General features: G+C 37.6%; 1 protein-coding gene across 11 annotated transcripts in view, besides 1 other annotated feature; it reads right to left on the bottom strand.

Moving 5' to 3' along the window:
- Positions 1 to 21,169, bottom strand: part of ADAMTSL1 (ADAMTS like 1) — a 1,004,318-nt gene that overhangs the window by 451,586 nt on the left and 531,563 nt on the right. The window lies entirely within an intron of this gene.
- Positions 20,159 to 20,714: an enhancer, noted in NCBI's record as "H3K27ac-H3K4me1 hESC enhancer chr9:18438649-18439204 (GRCh37/hg19 assembly coordinates)". NCBI's record gives its function as "activates a minimal SCP1, AML or CMV promoter by ChIP-STARR-seq in naive H9 embryonic stem cells {active_cell/tissue: H9 hESC(naive)}" and the evidence as "EXISTENCE:reporter gene assay evidence [ECO:0000049][PMID:30033119]".

Here is a 21,169-nt window from a genome sequence, read left to right as displayed (position 1 = left end):
GGTACATCAACTATGTCCAATAAAACACCAATAAAGTCTGACCAATGAAATACAAAAGATACACTGTTTATGAGGTATTATTTCCTGGATGATATAATTTGTAATATAAAAAACAAACATTCTATATTTCACTATAACATAAGCTGCTTGAGAACAGATACTAAGTTCTCAAATAATATTTATTTAATGAATGTCTAAATAATGGAAAATCCATGTGCATAGGACTATTGTCTCAAGCACAAATGTGGATTTTGAGTATAGGGCTTCTCCAACTCAGTTATTATGGCAACCTTAAAAGGCAAAGATAAGATCCCACCTTTTCCCCCTTTTAAACTATAATTCTAGAAAATTTTAGGCCTGTGTTATTTCTTTAAACACAAAGGTTCTGTTTAATATATGTCAGCTTATGGCAGCAAATACTGTTTTTTAAAATACTGTTGATAAGGGAACAGGACTTTTGCTCTGAACTCCTCAGAACATGCAAGGAAATATTTTTGTCATAAAATCAAAGGGCTGGGCTAGATTTGTTAAAGTCCCTTCAAGCTCTAGAATTTCATGACTCTGGCGTTTTCTTTTTTAAAAAACAAATTACCCATAATTACCCATGGGGAAGCAGTGCCTTTTAAAGTCACTCAGGATTTTGTCATTGGAGAGAAAATCCTCACTGACTGAGCACTGCCTGGATCGAATCTTTTTCCCGGTATATAAAGCCACAATAGAAAGCCTTTTTCCTCTAAGAATGCTCTGAAAATCTAGTGAAATAAGCTAATGAGAACCTATCATGGGACATAATTGACTCTGCGAATTTGACACTCGACATGAAGGAAGACACCTAAGTCTATGGAAGGTTAGGGCAAACTGGGTAAACTGTTCAGATCTCACATTAGCTGTTTTGTGGAATGGTTAAATCATTATTTTTCAACTGTGGGCAGTGATCCACTCACTAATAGGTCATGAAGTCAATTTCATCTGTAACAACCAGTATAAAAAATAGTTCAGAGTAGAACAGAAAATATTGAGTGTATCTCACATAGTAAGGATATGTATTGTTTGGTGAAACTTTTATTTCAGGTGTGTGTGTATGTGTTTCAGTGTAGGTATATACACACTAGGTCATCATGTAAAATTTATTTCTTCCAGTGGGACACACTAAAAAATGTTTGAAAACTCTTGGTTTAAATGAAAACAGCCTTTCAAGGTCCCTTCAAACTCTATAATTACTTCTATGAAATCCTGAACATCCTATGGGCATCCCATGCAATTGCAAAAAAAGGAGTAGGGTATGAATGGAAAGATTTCTTTCTTCAAAGGAAAGAAGCACCAAACAGATCCATTGATTCTGAATGCCAGAAGCCAAGATCACTGACCTCAATCTCTTCCATCTAATGGATTTGATCATACACACAGGTATAACCCCTATTCAGTGCTTGATGGAGGGTGGATGTCAGCTATGCCTAACAGTGACTGTGCATGAGCTAGACAGAATACAGGCCAGACAAGAGATTTTTGAATAACTTTGTATTGAAGTATAATATGCATATAGAAAACTGCAATTAGGAATTCTTTTTGCATCCTTAGGGGAAAGGAAAAGCATTATCACTTTCTCTAACTCCTCTTTCCTCCTCAGCATACCGCATTTCTGTCTAAGGCATGACTCAGAACCCATACTACTTTCCTGAAGACAGGAAGGGAAGTTCTGGAAGTGGAAACACCTCATATAGAAATTCTTCTGGTCGGGTGCAGAGGCTTATGCCTATAATCCCAGCACTTAAGGAGGCTGAGGCAGGAGGATCATTTGAAGCCAGGAGTTCAACACCACCCTGGGTGACAAAGTGAGCTACTGTCTCTACAAAAACTAAGAAAAAAAAGGCATGGTGGCGCATGCATTGTAGTCCTAGCCAGCCACTCAGAAGGCTGAGGTGGGAGGATCCCTGGAGCCTAGGAGCTTGAGGCTGCAGTGAGCCATGATCACACCACTGCATTCCAGTCTGGGAGACAGTGAGACCCTGTTTCTAAAAACAAAAAAAGAAAGAAATTATTCCCTCCTTAATATATGTCTATAAAACATTTTTTCCGTGATTTTATTTTAACTGATGTGTCACTATTCCTCATTTATTCCCCTTTTGTAAACCATTTATCAAAATAGTTTTTTGCTTTTTTTAAAGTAATATCTCAACATTAGCTCAGTAACTGGGAAGGCTTCAGCACTCCAGTATAATATAAATAAAATGCATAGAAAAGTAGTTTTTCACTGTGTGTGGAGTTTAAAGATTTTGAAATGTGGGGTGACAAAATGATAAACAGATGATGAAACAGTTTCTTTCAAAACAAAAAATTGCATACTTTTACTGAGGGCCTCACTTATGTCCGGGACTGTTCTAGATGCTAAATGAATGAATGAGATAGCCACGTAAGATCTCTGATTCTGTGGTGCTTCCATTCCAGCCAGAGGAGAAAGGTATGGAAAAAATTAAATAAATGAACAGGGTAATTTCAGATAGCAGTGAGTGCTATGACCAAAAGCAAACAGGAGTAGCTTCATGGTGGGGTTGAAGTGCAAATCAGATTGAGGTGGCTGTTCAGGGATGACCTTTGAACCAAGATCACAGTGAACAGGAAGGTGGTAAGCCAGGGTTTCTAGGGAAATTAAAGCAAGTTGGCGTGAGCACTAATATTTAATTAGTCCTTATTTAAAAATCTCCTAAATTGAAAAGAAAACAAAATAGAAATGTGGTAATCGAATAAAAAGAAATCCAGGCAGTGAAAGACTTTTATAGAAGTTAATTTTAAATGAATCCATTAGGTACTAAGGGAAGGGCCTCTACTTACCTTTGTTCAGGCTGCCAATGATGTCCCTGGTGTTATGTTCCCATAACACCCCTGACTAGTGCAGCTCACAACCTTGGCAGCCTGTGTAAGAGATTTTATATATTCCAAAAGGAAAATCTAGTGGACCAAGCAATCAAGAGTACCACTGAGGAAGTATGCAGCAATGTGTTAGCTCAGGATTTCCAGTGTGGCAGGAGGAGGCTGCATGGGAGCCACACTCAACTGATTGGTTATTCAAGGCTTGTTAAGGACCAAGGCCACTTATGCACACTTACGTAGACCTTCGCTAGAGTCTGAGGAATAATTATAGCCTCAATAAACTCAAAGGAGTATGAAAAACTTGAAAGCTGTTCAGAGGAAGTCAATGAAGATGATTAATAATTGAATAATGGGGTCTCTGAGAAAAGGTATAGCCAAACTGGAATCACTTAGCTGGGATTATTTATCTTGGTGAGGACATAGCCAAGGTATGGCTTAATAGGGCCTTCAAGAATATGAAAGGTAACGGTGACTAACTGTTCTTTATGACTTCTAGGAAGAGAACAAGTTGAAATGGGAGGGCTTTTAGTCAGAGATAAGAATTTTTGGATTAGAAAGTATCCAAAACACAGTGAGTTACCTAGCAAGCATTTTGGGTCTCTTTCTTTAAACTGTAAAATGGGGGCTATTAACATAAGATCCTTGAACCCCTTCCACATAGATGGGGATAGTGATTCTTGCCAAGTTCAATGCAAAATTGTGTGGGTATATGTGTATGTATGTACATTTTGGGGGTGGGGGTGGGAAGAGATTGGCAACTTTTATTAGATTGGGTCCATGCCCAAAATGTTTAAAAACCACTGCTTTTAAAAAACGGATTATATTCTCATCTGTTTAGATCAGCTGAAGAGCACTTTGGTCTGAAGAAGGAAAGTGAATTAGAGAGGACTTTTCAATTTGCTTAGCAACTTATAAGCTCTTTAGGTGACTCTGAGACCTACCTGTATGGCTGTCCTAAAGATTAAAAAAAAAAAGATTAGGAGTTTAACGTTAGGTTTAAAAAATTATATTAAAGTGCAAAATGCATTTATGAATATATACAGAAATACTTGCCATAAAACTGGGGGGTAAGTGGTACCAGCTTAGAAACATTTGCAACATATGAGCAAAGGGAGAAAGGTATTCTGTGGAATATTTAAAACATATGGTTTTTGTTTGTATTTCTTCCAAATGTTTGAGAAAAGTGAACAATTTGTACCTGTATACAATCGTGACTATGAATACGCTATTCTGTTTTAACAAAAAATGTATTTATAAGCAAGCAGTAAAATACTGAAAGAAATCATAATGTTACTAAGTGGGAGACTATCAAGTTCCATATTAAATTTCTCATACCTAAAGCTTACTTTGCAATAAACAGTAATTTTAACTTGATGGACTAAACAGTTTTCAATAAATATAAATTTTAGAGATCCACAGGAAGTAGTATAGTAAAAATCATAATCAATTTGGCATACAGATAATATTCACACCCACCCACCCTATGAATTGTGCAAGGTGGGGGTGGGGAAGAATTGCAGTATTTGTGAAACAGGTGAAACATTAAATTCTATTTTGTTTTACCTCCATATGTGGAGCAATAATAGAATATACATAGTTTATGAAGCCTAAAAACTCACTTGTACCTTTGAAATAAATGTGGTTGGGTTTGCCTATGATTGTAATCATTTTTCTAATTTGCAAACCAGTAATAATTTCATTTTTGATATAAAATAATTATATTACAAAACACAATAAAAATTTAAATTCACATTAGCCTCGGCTCCATTATTTTAAAAAGGTGGAATAATATAAACTAGTAGAAAAATTAAGGGCCAGAAATAATGAGATAAAGTGGGATTGGAACTCTGTTTTCTGGAATCCTGACCTGGTAGCACAAAATGCAAGCCTGAATTGCCATAACAATAACTGAGAGGGATAGGTGTGTTCCCAGACATATCGAGACATTTGCATCAAGTCATTGGTCTCTGTGATGGGTAATTTTAGGTGTTGACTTGACTGGATTAAGGAGTACCTGGAGAACTGGTAAAGCATTATTTCTGGGTGTGTCTGTGAGGGTGTTTCCAGAGGAGATTAGCATGTGAGTCTGTGGACTGAGTGGGGAAGATCTGCCCTCAATGTGGGTGGGCACCATCCAATCGGCTAGGGTCCTGGATGGAACAAAAAAGGAGAGAAAATAATTTTCTCTCTCTTTCATGTAGTGGGACAGTGTCCTCCTCCTTTCCTTGGATATCAGAACTCTAGCTTCTCCAGCCTTGGGATTATATGATTTACACCATCAGCCCCCTGGATTCTCAGGCCTTTGGCCTTGTACTGATATTTATTCCACTGTCTTTTCTGGTTCTGAGGCTTTCAGACTTAGACTGAGCTATGCTTAGGGTCTCCAGCTTAGAGATGGCCTGCGATGGAACTTCTCAGCTTCCATAATCACATGAGCCAATTCCCCTAATATGCCTCTTGCATACCGATATCTGTATCTGTCTATCTATAGGCAGATATTGGTTCTGTCTCTCTGGAGAACCCAGACTAATACAGATTTTGGTACTACGAGTGGTTCTAGAGGAAGATAATTATAAGAATGAGTTTCCTTAATTGGCTTGGGAGTTTCTAGAATTTGCTCACTAATCTGATTAGATCAAAAAATGCTAAGGACTCTGCTTCTAATAGCACAGAGAGCACTGATAGTTCATGGAATGAACTGTTTACAGAGATACAAAAAAATCTGCATTTCATATTCCTAATCAACCACTTATAAGTGGCCAAGAAATTGGCTAAATTATTTCCATCCTGTAGGACTTTGGGGAAGGTGGAATTTAAGAGTGATAAACTAGGGTATCTGGCAGGAGAGATTTCCAAGCAAAATATTGAGGGAGCTGTGTGGCTAATTTTAATTGAATAAAGTAAGCTGCAAGAGAAAAGAAATGACTTAAAGACATAATTTAGAATTAAAAGAGAAGCAAAACTAAAAAGATTTTGAAAAATTTCAGCCTGGCCCTGAAAAAAATTAAAAAAGCATGTTCAGATGACAAACCAAGGGTGTGGCCAAGTGACCATTTGCTAAGGAGATTAGTATAGATAGATAATAGAAGGGATCATTAAGTCAATAAGAGAATGATACTGAAGGCATTTCAGAGCTTCATGGCTGCCCCTCCCATTGCAGGTCCAGAGCTCTAGGAAGGCAGAATGGTTTGGAGAGACCAGCCCAAGGCACCCTCCACAGGCTTGTCACCCAGAGCTACCTTGGGTCTCTGCTCTCTGCATTCTGGCACTTTGCTCCTCATCCACCCTTGCTATAGCCCAAGCAGGCCCAGGTGAGGCTCATCCTACTGCTCTGGAAGGTATAAGCTGTAAACCTTGGCAACGGCTACATGGTGTTAATTCTGCAGGTGCACAGAGAGCAAGAGCTGTGCGGGCATGGCTTCCTCCATCTAAATTTTGAAGGATGTCATGGACAGCCTGGGGGCTCAGGCAGAAACTTGTCACAAAGGCAGAGCCACTGCGGAGAGCTCCTACTATGACAAAGCCTATTGGAACCTTGGAAATGGGGCCACCCCTGGACCCAGAACTATAGAGCTACCAGCTTACAGCTTCAGGCTGTCAGAGCTGTAGGCCTGGGGCTCCAACCTACGTGAGCTGCTGGTGGACTAAGCCCAGCAAAGTCAAAGGAATGAGGCTGCGTGAGGCCTTGGCGGCCCAACCTCTACCCTAATGTTCCCAGGATGTGAGACATGGAATCAAAGATTATTCTCCAGCTTTAAGACTTAATAGTGTCTTCCCTGTTGGGTTTCAGACTTATTTGGAGGCAGCAACCCCTTTCTTCTTGCCTATTTCTTTTATAATGGGAATGTCTATCTTATGCCTGTCCACCATTGTATTTTGGAGTTAGATAACTTCAGTTTAATAGGCTTGTAGCTAGAAAGAAATTTGACTTAGGATGAATCATGCCTGGAGTTTCATCTACATCTGATTTAGATTAGACTTTGGACTTTGGACTTTTGAGTTGGTTCTGGAGTAAGTTAAGACTTTTGAAACTATTGGAATGGAATGAATGCACATTGCATGTGAGAAGGATGTGACTTCGGGGATTAGTGACAGAATACTATGGTTTGAACGTATTCTCCAAGTTCATGTTTTGGAAAGTCAGCCCCAGTGCAAGTGTTGAGAGGTTGAACTTTTAAGAGGTGATTAGGTCATGAAGGTTCTGCCCTTGTGAATGGATTACATTATTATTATAAAAGTGGGCTCATTATCTTGAGAGTAAATTTGTTATAAATGGGAGCTTGGGGCAGGGTGCGGTGGCTCATGCCTGTAATCCCAGCACTTTCGGAGGCTGAGGCGGGTGGATCACCTGAGGTCAGGAGTTTGAGACCAGCCTGACCAACATGGAGAAACCCCATCTCTACTAAAAATACAAAATTAGCCAGGCGTGGTGGCACTTGCCTGTAATCCCAGCTACTCGGGAGGCTGAGGAAGGAGGAGAATCGCTTGAACCTGGGAGGCAGAGGTTGTGGTGAGCTGAGATTGTGCCATTGCACACCAGCCTGGGAAACAAAAGCGAAACTCGGTCTCAAAGAAAAGGGGGAGCTTGGACCTCTCTTGCTCCCTCACTCTCATCCTCTCTTGCCTTTGCATCTTCCACCATGCAACATGAGGGCCCTTGCCAGATGTGGGCCCTTCAGTCTTGGACTTCCCAGCCTCTAGAACTGTAAGAAATAAATCTCTCTTCTTTGTAAATTACGTAGCCTGTAGTATTCTGTTATAGTAACACAAAATGGACTAAGACAGTCTCCATCCTTTTCAGGCTTGAAGAAGAACTGTGTGCAACAAAACAACGAGTTCAGATAGAGTAAATTAGTAACACATGGAGCTGAAATTTGTAAGGTTTCATTTCCGGGGTAGCCAGATAAACAAGTATATTTACACAAGAGCTGGTTGAGTAATAGAAATTTTAAGCTAATGCTTATGTAAGTGGCAATAGCTTTTCTGAAAGTTGCTCAAGTAATGGTTTCAGTAACACAATTCTTCTCTTCTGTCCATTCACATGGCTATAATACAGGTACACATAACCATATTTAGACAGGTAAAGCTGTGTTCAATTTGCAGGTATAAAATCGTATGGAAATTGTAGACATAAAATCACTTCTAAACTAATTATAAGCTAGGTTGAAAAAATGACAGCAAGTTATCTTATGTGGCGATCTTACCATAAAAATTGGTATACTAGTATGCCCTTTACATTGAGGTATGCATGGAGGTACCCAACATCTTTCCAAGGAGTATGCAAACATGATTGTTTCAAGGAAAAGAATATTCTCAGCTTTGATAAAATGGTTTTCCTTGAACTGAACGGCAGGAGAATGCACATGCAGCTGTGGTGTGCTGATGGCTTCCTATCCCAATCCCCCTTCTTACAGCATGTTTCTTTGACTTTTCAAAAGTACCTGAAACTTACCTTGGTGTCTTACCCCTGGGTATAAAACTCAGGACCCCAAGCAAATGAATGATTCAAAATACTGGTTTAAATGAAACTCCTTTAATTAAGTAACCACAAACCCAGACTACAGTTCTTGTCTTTCCCTGTTTTATACAATTTTTTTGTAAAAGCAAAGCATGGCTTTAGAAGCAGGATATTTTACTCTATGTAATGATATTCTGAATCCAGATATACTGTAGAGTGGACAATGGAAATGATGACATTTTTCACTTAACCATGTTGCCTCTTCCTACTCTCTCAACTATTGTCAAATAATGAATCACTTCAGAGGTTGTCTAGTGACAACAAAGCAAAGGGAGTTTGGTAAGTTTGGTAAAGGGGATTAACTTACTTTTTCTGAGTCACAGAAAAGTTCTATGTGGTGTGTGTGTATACACACATATGCACATATATACATACATATATATGTATACATAATATATATATCTATATATGTATATATGAATCTGGGTTCCTAGAATTAAAAAGAGATATGGTTTTCATGCAGCTACATATTAACACATCCATTTCAACTGAAAGATAAAATTGACCTTTTCCTAACTGACTTTGCTGATTTACTTACATGGCAAATATATTTTCATTAATTGAGTGAGCTAAATTTGTACCTATAAAGTGTGTTTTTTTAAAAACATCAAGTTTATTGAGGTATAAGTTGAATACAGTAAAATCTACCCATTTTGGGCATTCAATTTTATGAGTTTTGACAAATGTATACAATCATGTAACGACCACAGCAATCAAGATATAGAATATTTCCATCGCTCCATGAAATTCCCTTGTGTCTTGTTGTAGTCAGCCAGCTCCACTTTTTATCACAGAATGTACATTCGTTGTATGGATGTTCCATAATTTCGTTACCTATTTACTAGTTAATGGACATTTGGTTGCTTCCAGTTCTTGGTGATTATGAATAAATCTATTACAAACATTCCTGTACATATATTTGCATGGAGAAATCTTTTCATTCTCTTGTATAAATACCTAGGAATGGGATTGCTGAATTTTATGCTAGGTGTATATTTAACTTAATGTAAGCAGCTGCCAACCTATTTTCTGAAGCACTCTCCCATTTTGCATTCTCACTGCCATGTCAGAGAGTTTTTCTGCAACCTTGCCAGCACTTACTACTGCCAGTTTTTAAAATGCCAGCCATTCCACTAGGTATATAGTAGTGTATTATTGTGGTTTTACTGTGCATTTGCCTAATGACTAATAACGTTGAAAAAGCTTTTCATGTGCTAATTTGACACCTGCATCTATCATCTGTATCTATTTTCTGTTTAGATCTTCTGTCTAATTTTTATTGGGTTATTTTCCTATTACTGAGTTGTGAGAGGTCTTTACATATTCTAGACACAAGTCCTTTATCTGATATGTGTCTTTGCAATTACAAAGTATTGGAAACAGTATATTTAAAACACAGGATGTGATAATATCATTTTATCAAAATAAAATGTATTGCCAAAGATATATTAGCTATATTTCAATTATCCTAATTATTTCTGAATATATTAAGTTAAACAAGTTTCCTCTAAGAGAAAAACCAACAGATATAATTAATAGTCATATGTTAAGTCTTGGTAAAGCCCTTTAGTATTATACATTCCAGAAAGAAAGAAGGCAAATGGCTCTACGACTGTGTTGGCTCTAATCACTGTTTTACAAATCATTTTGCATGTCAAGCTATTTAGATTTTTAAATATAAATTATATAATTATATTTTTAAATTATATAATAGAGTTGCTAGCTGATAAACTAAATTTAATTTTTGATCATTAATTACTAAGTGATTTTTGACATACAACTCAGAAAAAGTTCAAAGAATTTATGCTATTTCAGAATTCCTCCCTAAATCCCCCCAACTCATGCTTTTTATATAATCAGTGCTCTTCTCACTCACATGAATAAATGCGGAAGTTAAAAACAGGATTTATGAGTAACTGTGTCTCACTCTGGCAAGAAATGTTTATCCACTGATGAACTACTTAAGAGAAAAGAAAACCCCCATATATTTTATTTAGTATTTTCAATAAAGCATAGTATAAAAATTTATATTATTTGTGCTATTATTTGATATTAATAATACTTGAAATAATATATCACTCACATAAATTTTAAACATTCGAGCCTTGTAACCATAGAGCATTTTTTAAAATTAAACTTTAAAATTAAATTTTACTTTCTATATATTTTTTGCAGTAAGGTATACCTGGGCAGCCATACTTTTGGTTCTTTTTTATTTTGCAGAAAGAGGAAAACTTTCAATCATAAAATATACTACGTTATGATAGCATGAGTCTAAAGAGAAAAGAAAATGAGATAAATGTCCAATATATTTACTTTTATGAATAACTGAGTATCTAACTGGCATGGTATTTACATTCTAGCAGAAACATCTACAATTAATATTTATAATTTTCCAGATATAACTTCCTTTGCAACTATTTCAACTTATGATGATGAATTTTAAATGCCAACTTACAAATGTGCCTGTGGTCGATATTTTCTAAATTCTTTTAGGGGTTTAAAAGTAAAAATTTGGAAAGGTAGGTCATGACCTTTATAATTCTTTCCCTTTTCTCCCTGGCAGTTGTGACATTTGGCCCTGATCTCATTGTCCTAGTTTCAAACTTCTCAGTTTGTGGTTACAATAGCAATAATTTTCCCCTGACAGCAGGTGGATGGCTAGCTCATCCAGTGTCCTGTGTCCTTCCCACACTGGCTGGCTGGCAGCAGAACCTTGACTGTCCATGCCAAACTTCTTTCTCCAAGCCTCCTCCTTAACATTCTTCCTGAGCAGCTCAACAAAATCATCATAAAAGAACAAAATACCCAGAGTGGTTCTTAACTGGGTATTCCTAAGTGTATAAAAGAATTTATTACTGAGGCTTGGGGTTTTGTTTATTAATTGATTTTTGTTTTCTCTTGTTTTCTGGGCAAATACTTTATGGCAGAGAGAGAGAGAGAGAGAGAGAAAGAGCGAGAGCGAGCACGCACACAAATCTCTTGTTTTGGTGGTCTTGAAAAGTGTTTTCCAAAGTTTTCAAAGCTTTGGACTGAAACCCATAAACCAAACCAAATTGCTCACATCCCACAAATGCACAACCATGTGTGCTCGACACCTGCAATTTTTTATACATCAAAGTTTGGGCTCTTCTGCATTCAAAGAGCTACTGTCACCAGGCCCCTGAGGGGCATGCATATAGAGAAAGGAAGCAAACTCATTTGGCAGAGAGGCTTATGAGACTCTCCGGAGGAAGGTACTCTATTTCAAGAAAGAATGAACAGCAATAGACATTCAGAAAGGGTCTAGCAAAGAGCTCCCTGAGGACTCTTTAGCAGTGTATGTCCTGCTAAGCCTCCAAACACACACTTATAATTGCGAGACATTTTGTTTTGCATCAGGTGCCTCTAACAGCCTGATTCCCCCATCCAGGACAATGTCATTGCTTTACTTTCTTTTAGTGGTTCTATTTTTGTCCCTTCCTTTTAAATACTGAACTGAGGTATTTGTGAAGTCTCCCTCCCTCCCTCTTCCCCACAGGTTTGGCTCTCATTTTCCCCATTATTTCAATGAGTAATGACACCAAGGGCATGAAGCCAGTCCTACCGGCACTGAACACTTTCCCCTTTCTACAAAATAAAGCAAGCACCAAACCAAACACGGCACAACATTCAGCTTCAGGGATTGTGACACATTTCCAGGCTCTCTTTGCTCTGTAGTAGAATTCTGGCTGTCATTCGGCATTTGGCTTTTTCTCACGGAGCCCTTGAGCAACCTTTATTTACCATGCACACTGACTTTCATTACTATATAATACAGAAAATATTTGCTTCATTATGAAGCCAGCTGAATATTTATTTTGATTTTGTTACTTGTGGTAAACAGAGTTCAAAACACTCTCTGCTACCACTGTTCCAAACTAGTCAAAAACTATGTAAACAACCCACATAGTGATTGTGTGACCCACATTTTGTGATTGTCTCACCTCCCCTTCCAGCACAAGGAAAGTTTTGTTTAAAAAAAAAAATGTTCATGTTAATTTGAAATTTTAAAGCAAGTTTTATCCCTCAAAACTGTCTTCAGTCCACACTTCTGACTGCCTTTATAGGAAATCACGTTACAATGAACTCCTTTCAAGGTACTTTTGGAACCAAACCTTCTCTTTGGATATGGTCCAAGGTAGGCCTAATTCTGTTCTAAGACAAGCACTATTACCCGAAAGTTCAAGAATACTATTTTTTAGATGACATAGGTAAGAACATGTTGAGAAAAACGTGTTTGCACCCAGATGCATTTTATCTGTATGAAGATCTACGTCAAAGGCTTTGCTGATTCTATTTTGTTCTAGGACCAATATGCCTTGTTTCCCTCAAGTTGCTTTAAAAGATTGATTTGGAATGGACCCATTTGGCCTTTTGTATGGTCCAGTTTCTGCACGTTCACATTACAATAAACATGTCAGCCCAATTGCCTGCACAGGCATCCTTGCTGGTTGACATTTTGTGATACTTTTTATAATCTGGTAGAATTCTAATTGATTTTAAAATCAATAAAACCCATACTTGCTTATTTTTGCATTTTAAAGAAACAAAAACAAATTTAGAGTAGCAGAACATTTTTAGTTCATGCCTTTAAATGCTTTCAGAAAACCAAGTATACCAGCACGAATCTAGACTAATATTTATGTCAACATTTTTTTCCCCCAGGCATATCTTCCTACAGAGAATTTGGGAGTGAGATTTAGTTTTCATCTTAGACTTAAGCCCATATATAGAGTTTCTGGAACGTCAATCCTAAAAGATCACTGTGGAGTTTCTTTTTTCCTTTTCCTGCTCTGTAAGACATTTATACCTCTACCTTTCTGCTAGAGGTAATCGCACAATTGAGCTAATGTAAATGTTGTTCAATACAGGAAGAAATCTTGGGTTCTGGGATGAAATCTGGAATCAAACTCTGGGTCCATCGCTTCCTGGTTATATTGTCTTAAGCAGGTTACTAATCTTCATGAACCACAGTTTATTCTATAAAATAGGGGGATGAATACCTACATGATAGGGTAACTATAAGGATTAAATATAAAAATGTTTACAAATATTTGATACAGTATTGTGCATATAGTCACTACTAGCTCCTTATAATTCTTAGTATATTATTCTGATTATTCTGATAATTGTACTTTTTTCACATGACAAAGATTAAATGTAGGTTTTAAAAAATATTGGATTTTCTAAATACATTCAAGTAAAGGTAAACTAAAAATGTTTTATAAAAATTCAACTGATGATAAAAAAATTTTTCAAGATGTCTCCAGTCAAGTAGGGAATCAAATACTTTCAGCATTTTGTATATGAGTCTTGGTTAGTATTTTCTTTTTTGGTGTACATTTGGTAAACTCTTTGTTTATCACAATATTTTTAAGTCTTCAGTTTACCCATCAATAAAATGGAATGACAAAATTTTGAAACCACAGAATAATATAGATACCAAATATTACTATTAACTACCTGTTTTGTAAATATGGGATATTGAAGAACTCTTAAATATACTGTGATTAAAAGATGTACCACAAGGGTATCATTTTGTATGTAGGAATGTAGGTGAACTCTAAAGATTTTGTCTTATCAAGTTCAAGGTTCAATTTATTTTTGCATTAAACAAACAAAGTCAAAGAGTTCATTATCCATGATCTTAATTTTTCCCCAAGGATAAAACATATATTTGATGCTTAATGGTGGTGACAGATTGTTTAGCTCTCAAATCAAAGGCTGTACTTTTAGCGGTGGCAAAACAGATACTGAAGAGAGAAACTGGTTATCACTGTCAGAACAATCGAGAAGAATTTCAGACTTCTTGAGGAGGAAACATCCCCAGCAAGGTAAGTTAATGTGTACATTTATTGTACTGAAGAATATCACAGTGTTTAAGAACTTGAGCTTTGGAGTTCAACTGACTGGGTTTGAATCCTGAATCTATAACATTCTATTTGACCTTAGGCAAATAAGTTACCTAAACTCTCTGACTTTCAGTTTTCTCACCTGTGAAATGAGGGTAATCGTAGTGCCTAAGAAGGCATGCTAAATACTTAGAAAAGGGCCTGGATCAGATTAAGTGCTCAACAGTGTTAGCTGTTGCTGATATTATTAGTCTCTTGGTAAGATACATAGACATATGTCTTTTAATAAATAGGAGGAAAGACATTAAATATGGCATTTCTGCACTTGAACAAAAGTTTTAAGGATGTTGCCATACCCTCCTGCCTGTGTGCCATCCCTTTGGCCTTAACTCGTACTACTATTATTATCTGCATCTGTTTTCCCTTTACCAATTGTTTAAGGTAAAGCAAAAGACATAAACCTGTTCTCAAGGAGTAGAATATTCTTACAATAGAAACTAATGTGTGCACAGGTGAAATACTGAGGATCTGCTTGAGGCCAATCTTCAAGCCTTATGTTTTTATCCTTATAGGCTAAAATTCAAAATAGTAGAGTCTAGTGAAATGTTACATATACGTAATACCCATTTTTCTCTTTGTTCACATGTAAGTCAACATTGGAGAACCATGAATTTTGGAATCAGAAAGACCTAAATTCAAATCCCATATCCACCATTTAGTAACAAACTTAGGCAAGTTATTTAGTCTCTCTGAGCTCCAATGGCCTCATCCATAAAAGGAATATATTACCCATTAGCTCAAAAGATCAATGTGAGGATTAAATAAGATGGCATTTGCCAAGCACCCAGCACAATGCCTCACCCTTAGTAGTTTCTCAATAATTTTTTCTTTTCTCATTCACTGCAAAAACTAAAAAAATAAAGATTCTAAGAATTCTCTAAAACCATGAAGCCATCGTCACACATGCTAGACATCATGGTAAACCCTGCAAGCATTATTTAGTCTATTTTATCCCCAAGTAAAATAACTTCTGACACATCCTCACAAAAACAATATCATTTCTATAGTAAATGCTAGTAACATAGTTGTTCCTCTTACTTAAATGTGAACATAATCTACATCTATGTCATTAGAACACAAGATCATCTCCATCACAGGTACTTATACTTCACAATTTCACCAATTAATAAAAAAATGGTTTACTACTTTATGGTTTAGGTCCATTTCTGTTGTGGCCTATACAGACAATCTATTCAAATGCATGTTGACAATATTATAGTCTATGTACAGAGAAAGTCCTAGCTTTTCTAAGATCGTTTTAACAGAGCTATAATCCATGTACACTGAATTCATGAGTTGGGCCACAAATATACAGCAGATTTCTCCATATCTTTGGGGAGAAACTAAAAGTCAGTACAGTACACACCTAGGCTGAAAAAGGACTGCAAAGTATCCAAACTTTCATTCACCCTGAACTGATTTATGAAGTCATTTTCTTTCTTATAATCTCCACATATTCATTTTCTTAGAAACACTCCTCCACTCTCTGTCTTCCAACACTGAATGAGTTCTATACCTATAACTCCCATGGCTTACTAAAGAGCAAAAGATAAAACCCTGAGAAGAATACCTCACTAACTTTGCCTTTTAATCTACTGCTGGCTTACTGAGAAGGTTCAGTTTTCTCCTGCAGATAATTCTTTAACATTTATGTAAGCAATGGTATTCATTATACACTGAAGGAGAAAGACAAAAAGTAATGTATCCTCAGCTAGATCATAAAAGGTTGTCAGCTCATCAGTGACTTCCTATGATGTCATCAGCAACAGGAAAGCTAGAACAGTTAAGCTTCTCAAAAACTGAAGATGAAATTACAACTTTAGTATTGACCCAGTTATGTGGCCTAGAGTGTGCAGCAGAGCTCACTTTAATATATGGCTCCTTATCCCTATAAAATACATCAAAGGCCAGATTTTCAAAGCCTTCTATGACTGGCCATTTGGAGAGAGGTATATCCAGGCCCCCAAAGCCTTCATTTTAAGCAGATGTCAGTGGCAATGGCAAAGCTAGAAATTGCAAGCACAGGCTTGTAAAGACAAAGTTTAACACCAGTCCTGACTAGGGAGGGGCTGGCATGGAAGGAGCCGGAACCATCACTCTGTTCTATAAAACCAGGTACTGTGCTGGTTTGTGGCAGGTCGTAGAAGGCTGAGAAGTTTAAATCCTATTTGCTTTTCCTTAGCCCTGCTCTCCCTTGGAGGGCAGCACCGACCAAATGACTTGCAGGCCACTAGGTGGCGCTCCCTTTTACCACCCAGTCTATGCATGACAGCAAAGCCAGCTGTCAGGAGCTCCGTCTTCTTAAAACGTTTAAAGATAAAAGAAAAATCTGTAAGGTTCTTCTCCTTATCATAGCAGCTAAAGGTATGTTACTCAACTAATTGTGAAATCCTGTAGTCAATATCATCTGAGACTATAAAAGCAAATATCTAGCACATTTGAGAGACTCAATAAATATTAAAGAAATATACAACTAAATTGAGGACCCATGATTTTTTTTCCTTCTTTTTGAAGACAGAAAACTATACATCCAACTGAACTGCTTGTTTGCAGAGTCATTTGAAAAGCCAGTGCCTCCCAGCTTTGAATTTTAATAACTCCCTTTGAAAGTCTGCATAGAAGATACGACTTAACCTTTACAAGTCCACATCAATCCTCTTAATAAACACCTGGCAAAATGTTAGAGAATGAAAGTTGTTTTCTTTTTTCTCTCTTTCTCTGAAATTTTCCTCAAACTTTGGAAATCTCACTACAGGAAAATAGAAGATTGGAGTCTGCTATGTAGATAAAAATATACACTTATCACACATCCTAAGTTACTTTGATGTATAACATTCCCTTTAAAGTTTAAACCAAACTCTTTGATACAATGGCTCTTTTAGAATAAAGCTCTCGTTTGTCTTCAGAAGATATTTTGAATTTCATCTATGGAGAGTGTTAAAGGACAGGAAACTTTTAATACACAAGGTAATAACAAAAAGCCACCTGCTCTTCTATAGCCAAAACTTTATTCACAATTGTTAGGTGTGTTAGAATAATAACCATTATCATCCAGCCATCCCAAAGTAGCCATTTAGTGGATTTGGGTTTTCATTTGGCATTAAAAATTATTATTATTACAACATATATTTTGCCTTTTAAATGTCTGCACACTTGTGCAGCACCAAAACTTAGTTAAAAATTGAACTGAGGACCTTTTGTTCCAGGTAATATAGATCAAAACTGTATTCTCTCAACCATTTGGAGAAACTGTATTTCAAAATGTTATCCCTCCCAGGCTGAGAGCATTACATTCTCTGCCTCCTGGGACACACATATTTAAGGTTTTTGTCTTCTTAGCATCTCCTATTATAGAAAAAAAAATGGATTCCTTTTACAAACTCAGCAGGTCTTTGAAGAGGCATCATGCCATTCTTCATCTTCTGACATTACACATGAGGCTTTAGCTTTGTTTGTATTTTCTGTAGTGAATTCTTTTCCTTCCCGTGGCAGTCCAGGGTGAATTTCCCAGATCTTCCTTTCTATCCCCAACAGAAAAAAAGCACTGGATCTGAAATCCTGTCTTATTTTAAAACTGATTAGAAGTGAGACATGTATAGCAGCCTTGTGACTAAGAACTAATATTTACCAGCCCACACAAACCTCTCAGTAGTCTGGATTTCCCCAAAGAGGGCCAGCTATTAGAAGAATGAATGGAGTCAGTATTTTCTTTCCTTTTTAAAAATTGAGATACAATTTCACATTCCATAAAATTCACTTTTTTGTGAGTGAATTAAAGTGTACAATGCAGTGGTTTTGACTGTATAAGATTGTACAACCATCATTACTAATTCCATAACATTCTTATTACCCCCAAAAGAAACCCCATTCCTCTCCCCACTCCCAGCCCCTGATAGCTACTAATCTACTTTTTGTATCTTATGGGTTTGACTGTTTTGAACATTAACTACAAATGGAATAATATTATATGGGCCCTTTTATGTCCGGCTTCTTTCACATAGCATAATGTTTTCAGGGTTCATCTATGTTGTGACATAAATCAGTGCTTCATTCCTTTTTATGGCTAAATAATATTCCAACATTTTCTTCTCTTTTGCCTGTCATAAATTGTTGTTCTTTGTTTGGATGAGCCGCTAATATGGGTCTACAAATGGTGTTAAGAAAAAGATTAACCTATTTGCTAAAATATTAATAGCTCAACCAAATAGATTTTGAAGTTAAGAAATTCCTGGTAGTCTGGTAAGTAAAAATAAAGCTCTTGATTTTCCCCTCTTCCACTTTCATATGTCAGTAATAATTACTGGAAAAAGTAAATGGCCCTTAAATATGACCATCTCTTCAAAATGATGCATCATATTAAAATTGCGGTAATTTTTAGGAAAGCCTACTTATAAAAAAGAAGTATTTGACTTTGAATTAAAGATATATATAATATATATATATTATACATCTGATAAAGTCTAGTGTTTACTAAAATAAAGTGTTGTTTTTATTTACCTAAAAATTTAACCTAAAATACTTTTCATAAAGTAGGACTGTTAGGCCAATTACAGCATCCTAGATGCTGATTGCAGTGTCTTGTGCTTATTGAATGAGCAGGATGGGTCCTTATCTCCCCTGTCATTAAACTTTTACGTTTTAAGATAGAGTCCTATATTTATAGTAGTATTTATAGAAACCTAACACATCTTTTAAACTGTACTAGTGATTTTACAGATTTGTTATTGTTTTTGTGGGTGTTCTGTTCACAAAGTTGCATGGGTACTGAGGGGTCTACCTCGATCTAATTTTCTCATGAGTCTGGTTCTAGTGTGTGTTTCCCAGGATGCAAGGTGTTTTCCAGAAATGCATATTGTACCATAGCAGAACTCCTGTATGTGTAAAAGCATAATCAAGAAGAATAATGCAAGGAAGTCTACCTGAGAATATTACCAAAAACATAATAAATACATTTTAAGAGAATTTTAAGCAGGGTCTGCAGTGGTTAGCTAGCTAGCACCACAGTGAGCATATCTCAGGGTGTTTGAGGAAGATTTAAAATTGAGTACAAATTTAAAATTGAATACACATAGTAAGTTACTGGATGGTGTGAAGTAGTGTACTATAGATTAAAAACTTAGGCTCAGACCACACGAGGAATCAGGAGTCAACCACTTTCTGATTATATGACCTTGGACACACAAATTATCCTTTTGTCATCTATCAAACGGCTGTATGAAGATGAAATGGGATAATAATATAAAGTGCCTAGAAACTTGCCTGACATTCCTCCAATAAGTACTGATAAAGCATTCAAGAGCCAGGCACTACATTAGAGTCTGAGAATACAGCAGTGAACAAAATACAATTTTAAGTCTTCATTTTTTAAAAAAGTTATTATAAGCCAGGAGCAGTGGCTCATGCCTGTAATCCCAGCACTTTGGGAGACCGAGGCAGGCAGATCACGAGGTCAGGAGATCGAGACCATCCTGGCGAACATGGTGAAATCCCGTCTCTACTAAAAATACAAAAATTAGCTGGGTGTGGTGGCGCGCACCTGTAATCCCAGCTACTCGGGAGGCTGAGGCAGGAGAATTGCTTGAACCAGGGAGGTAGAGATTGCAGTGAGATAAGATTGCGCCACTGCATTCCAGCCTGGGCGGCAGAGCCAGACTCCGTCCAAAACAAAACAAAGCTATTATAAAGATGTTTGTCATTTACTGATATCTTCCATATATTCCCCCAAACTGGGTGTCCTCAGTAAGGAATAACAATGAGCAAATTCAGTGTTACAGTGTTATCTGTTCTTTAATGCCTTACTGGAACACATGAAAGGAAAATGAAGACATAGGAACCGGGGGTGATTTGTTTCTAGACCATGATGAGGGACTTGGAATTTGCCAATGCAGGACACACAAGTCCCTGGCAGGGCGGTCATGACGTAGTGAAGACGACACCATGTTCCGTAAGATGCTTTCGGAATGCAACGTCCAGGAAGCCTCCAAAGGAATTTTGCAGGAAACCAATATGGATACTTTGAAAATAAAAGGAAAGGAAAAAAGAAAAAAAAAAAAACCTGTCAACAACCCATCACTGGCAGCAGGGGAGTGTGCATAAATGCGGGTGGGGGACAAAGGCTCGGGACTGGAGCTAAGCCGGTGTGAATCGAGGCTGCATGTGCCTGGGTGTAGTGGACCGTGCACACTTGGGGAAATGCACGTGGTGCAATGAGCCTCTCCATTTTCAGAATTGTGAGGGTGAGCGAGAGGGGCTGCCCGGCGTGTGCAGACTCTGCGCCGGCTCGTCTGTTTGGGTAAGCTGAGTGCAGGGTCCTCACTAGCTGCGGAGGAGTTGGCGCCGGGCACCCGGAGCCGCAGCCAACAACAGCAAATGGTGGCGGCGAGGAGGAAGCCTGCGGTGCTGCAGCCCCCTCTAGGGTAACATTCACGAGCTCGAGAAGAAAGCGAATGCAAGAGGGCAGTGCGGGAAGGGACACGCTTGAAACCCGAGCAAGGGGATGGGGCCGGAGAGAGGAGGAAGCCAGCCTTGGTTCCAAAATACTGCCGTCAGGTCCTGCTGACACCAAAGCAAAAACATCCCTGGCCACCCGAGGGGCTGGGAGGCCGCCTTCAGCTGTCCGTGGGGGTGGCTGCCCTGACGGTGTTGGGTTCCTAGCAAAAGATCAAAAGGCGAGCTCCCTACTCTGAAAGCAAAACTGGCCTGTGTTTTCCAGAGAGGAGCTCCATTTTCACCAGAAGTTATTTTTCAAAAATAACAAGTTCTGTTGATAGTCTTTCTCTCCCTCTATTTCTCTTATCATTCCTATCCTTTTTTTTTTTCTCCATCTCTCCCCCTCCTTTCTCTTCCTATG

Source organism: Homo sapiens, chromosome 9, assembly GCF_000001405.40.
Source record: "Homo sapiens chromosome 9, GRCh38.p14 Primary Assembly".
Taxonomy (NCBI): domain Eukaryota; kingdom Metazoa; phylum Chordata; class Mammalia; order Primates; family Hominidae; genus Homo; species Homo sapiens.
This window is presented reverse-complemented; position numbering and strand designations above follow the sequence as displayed.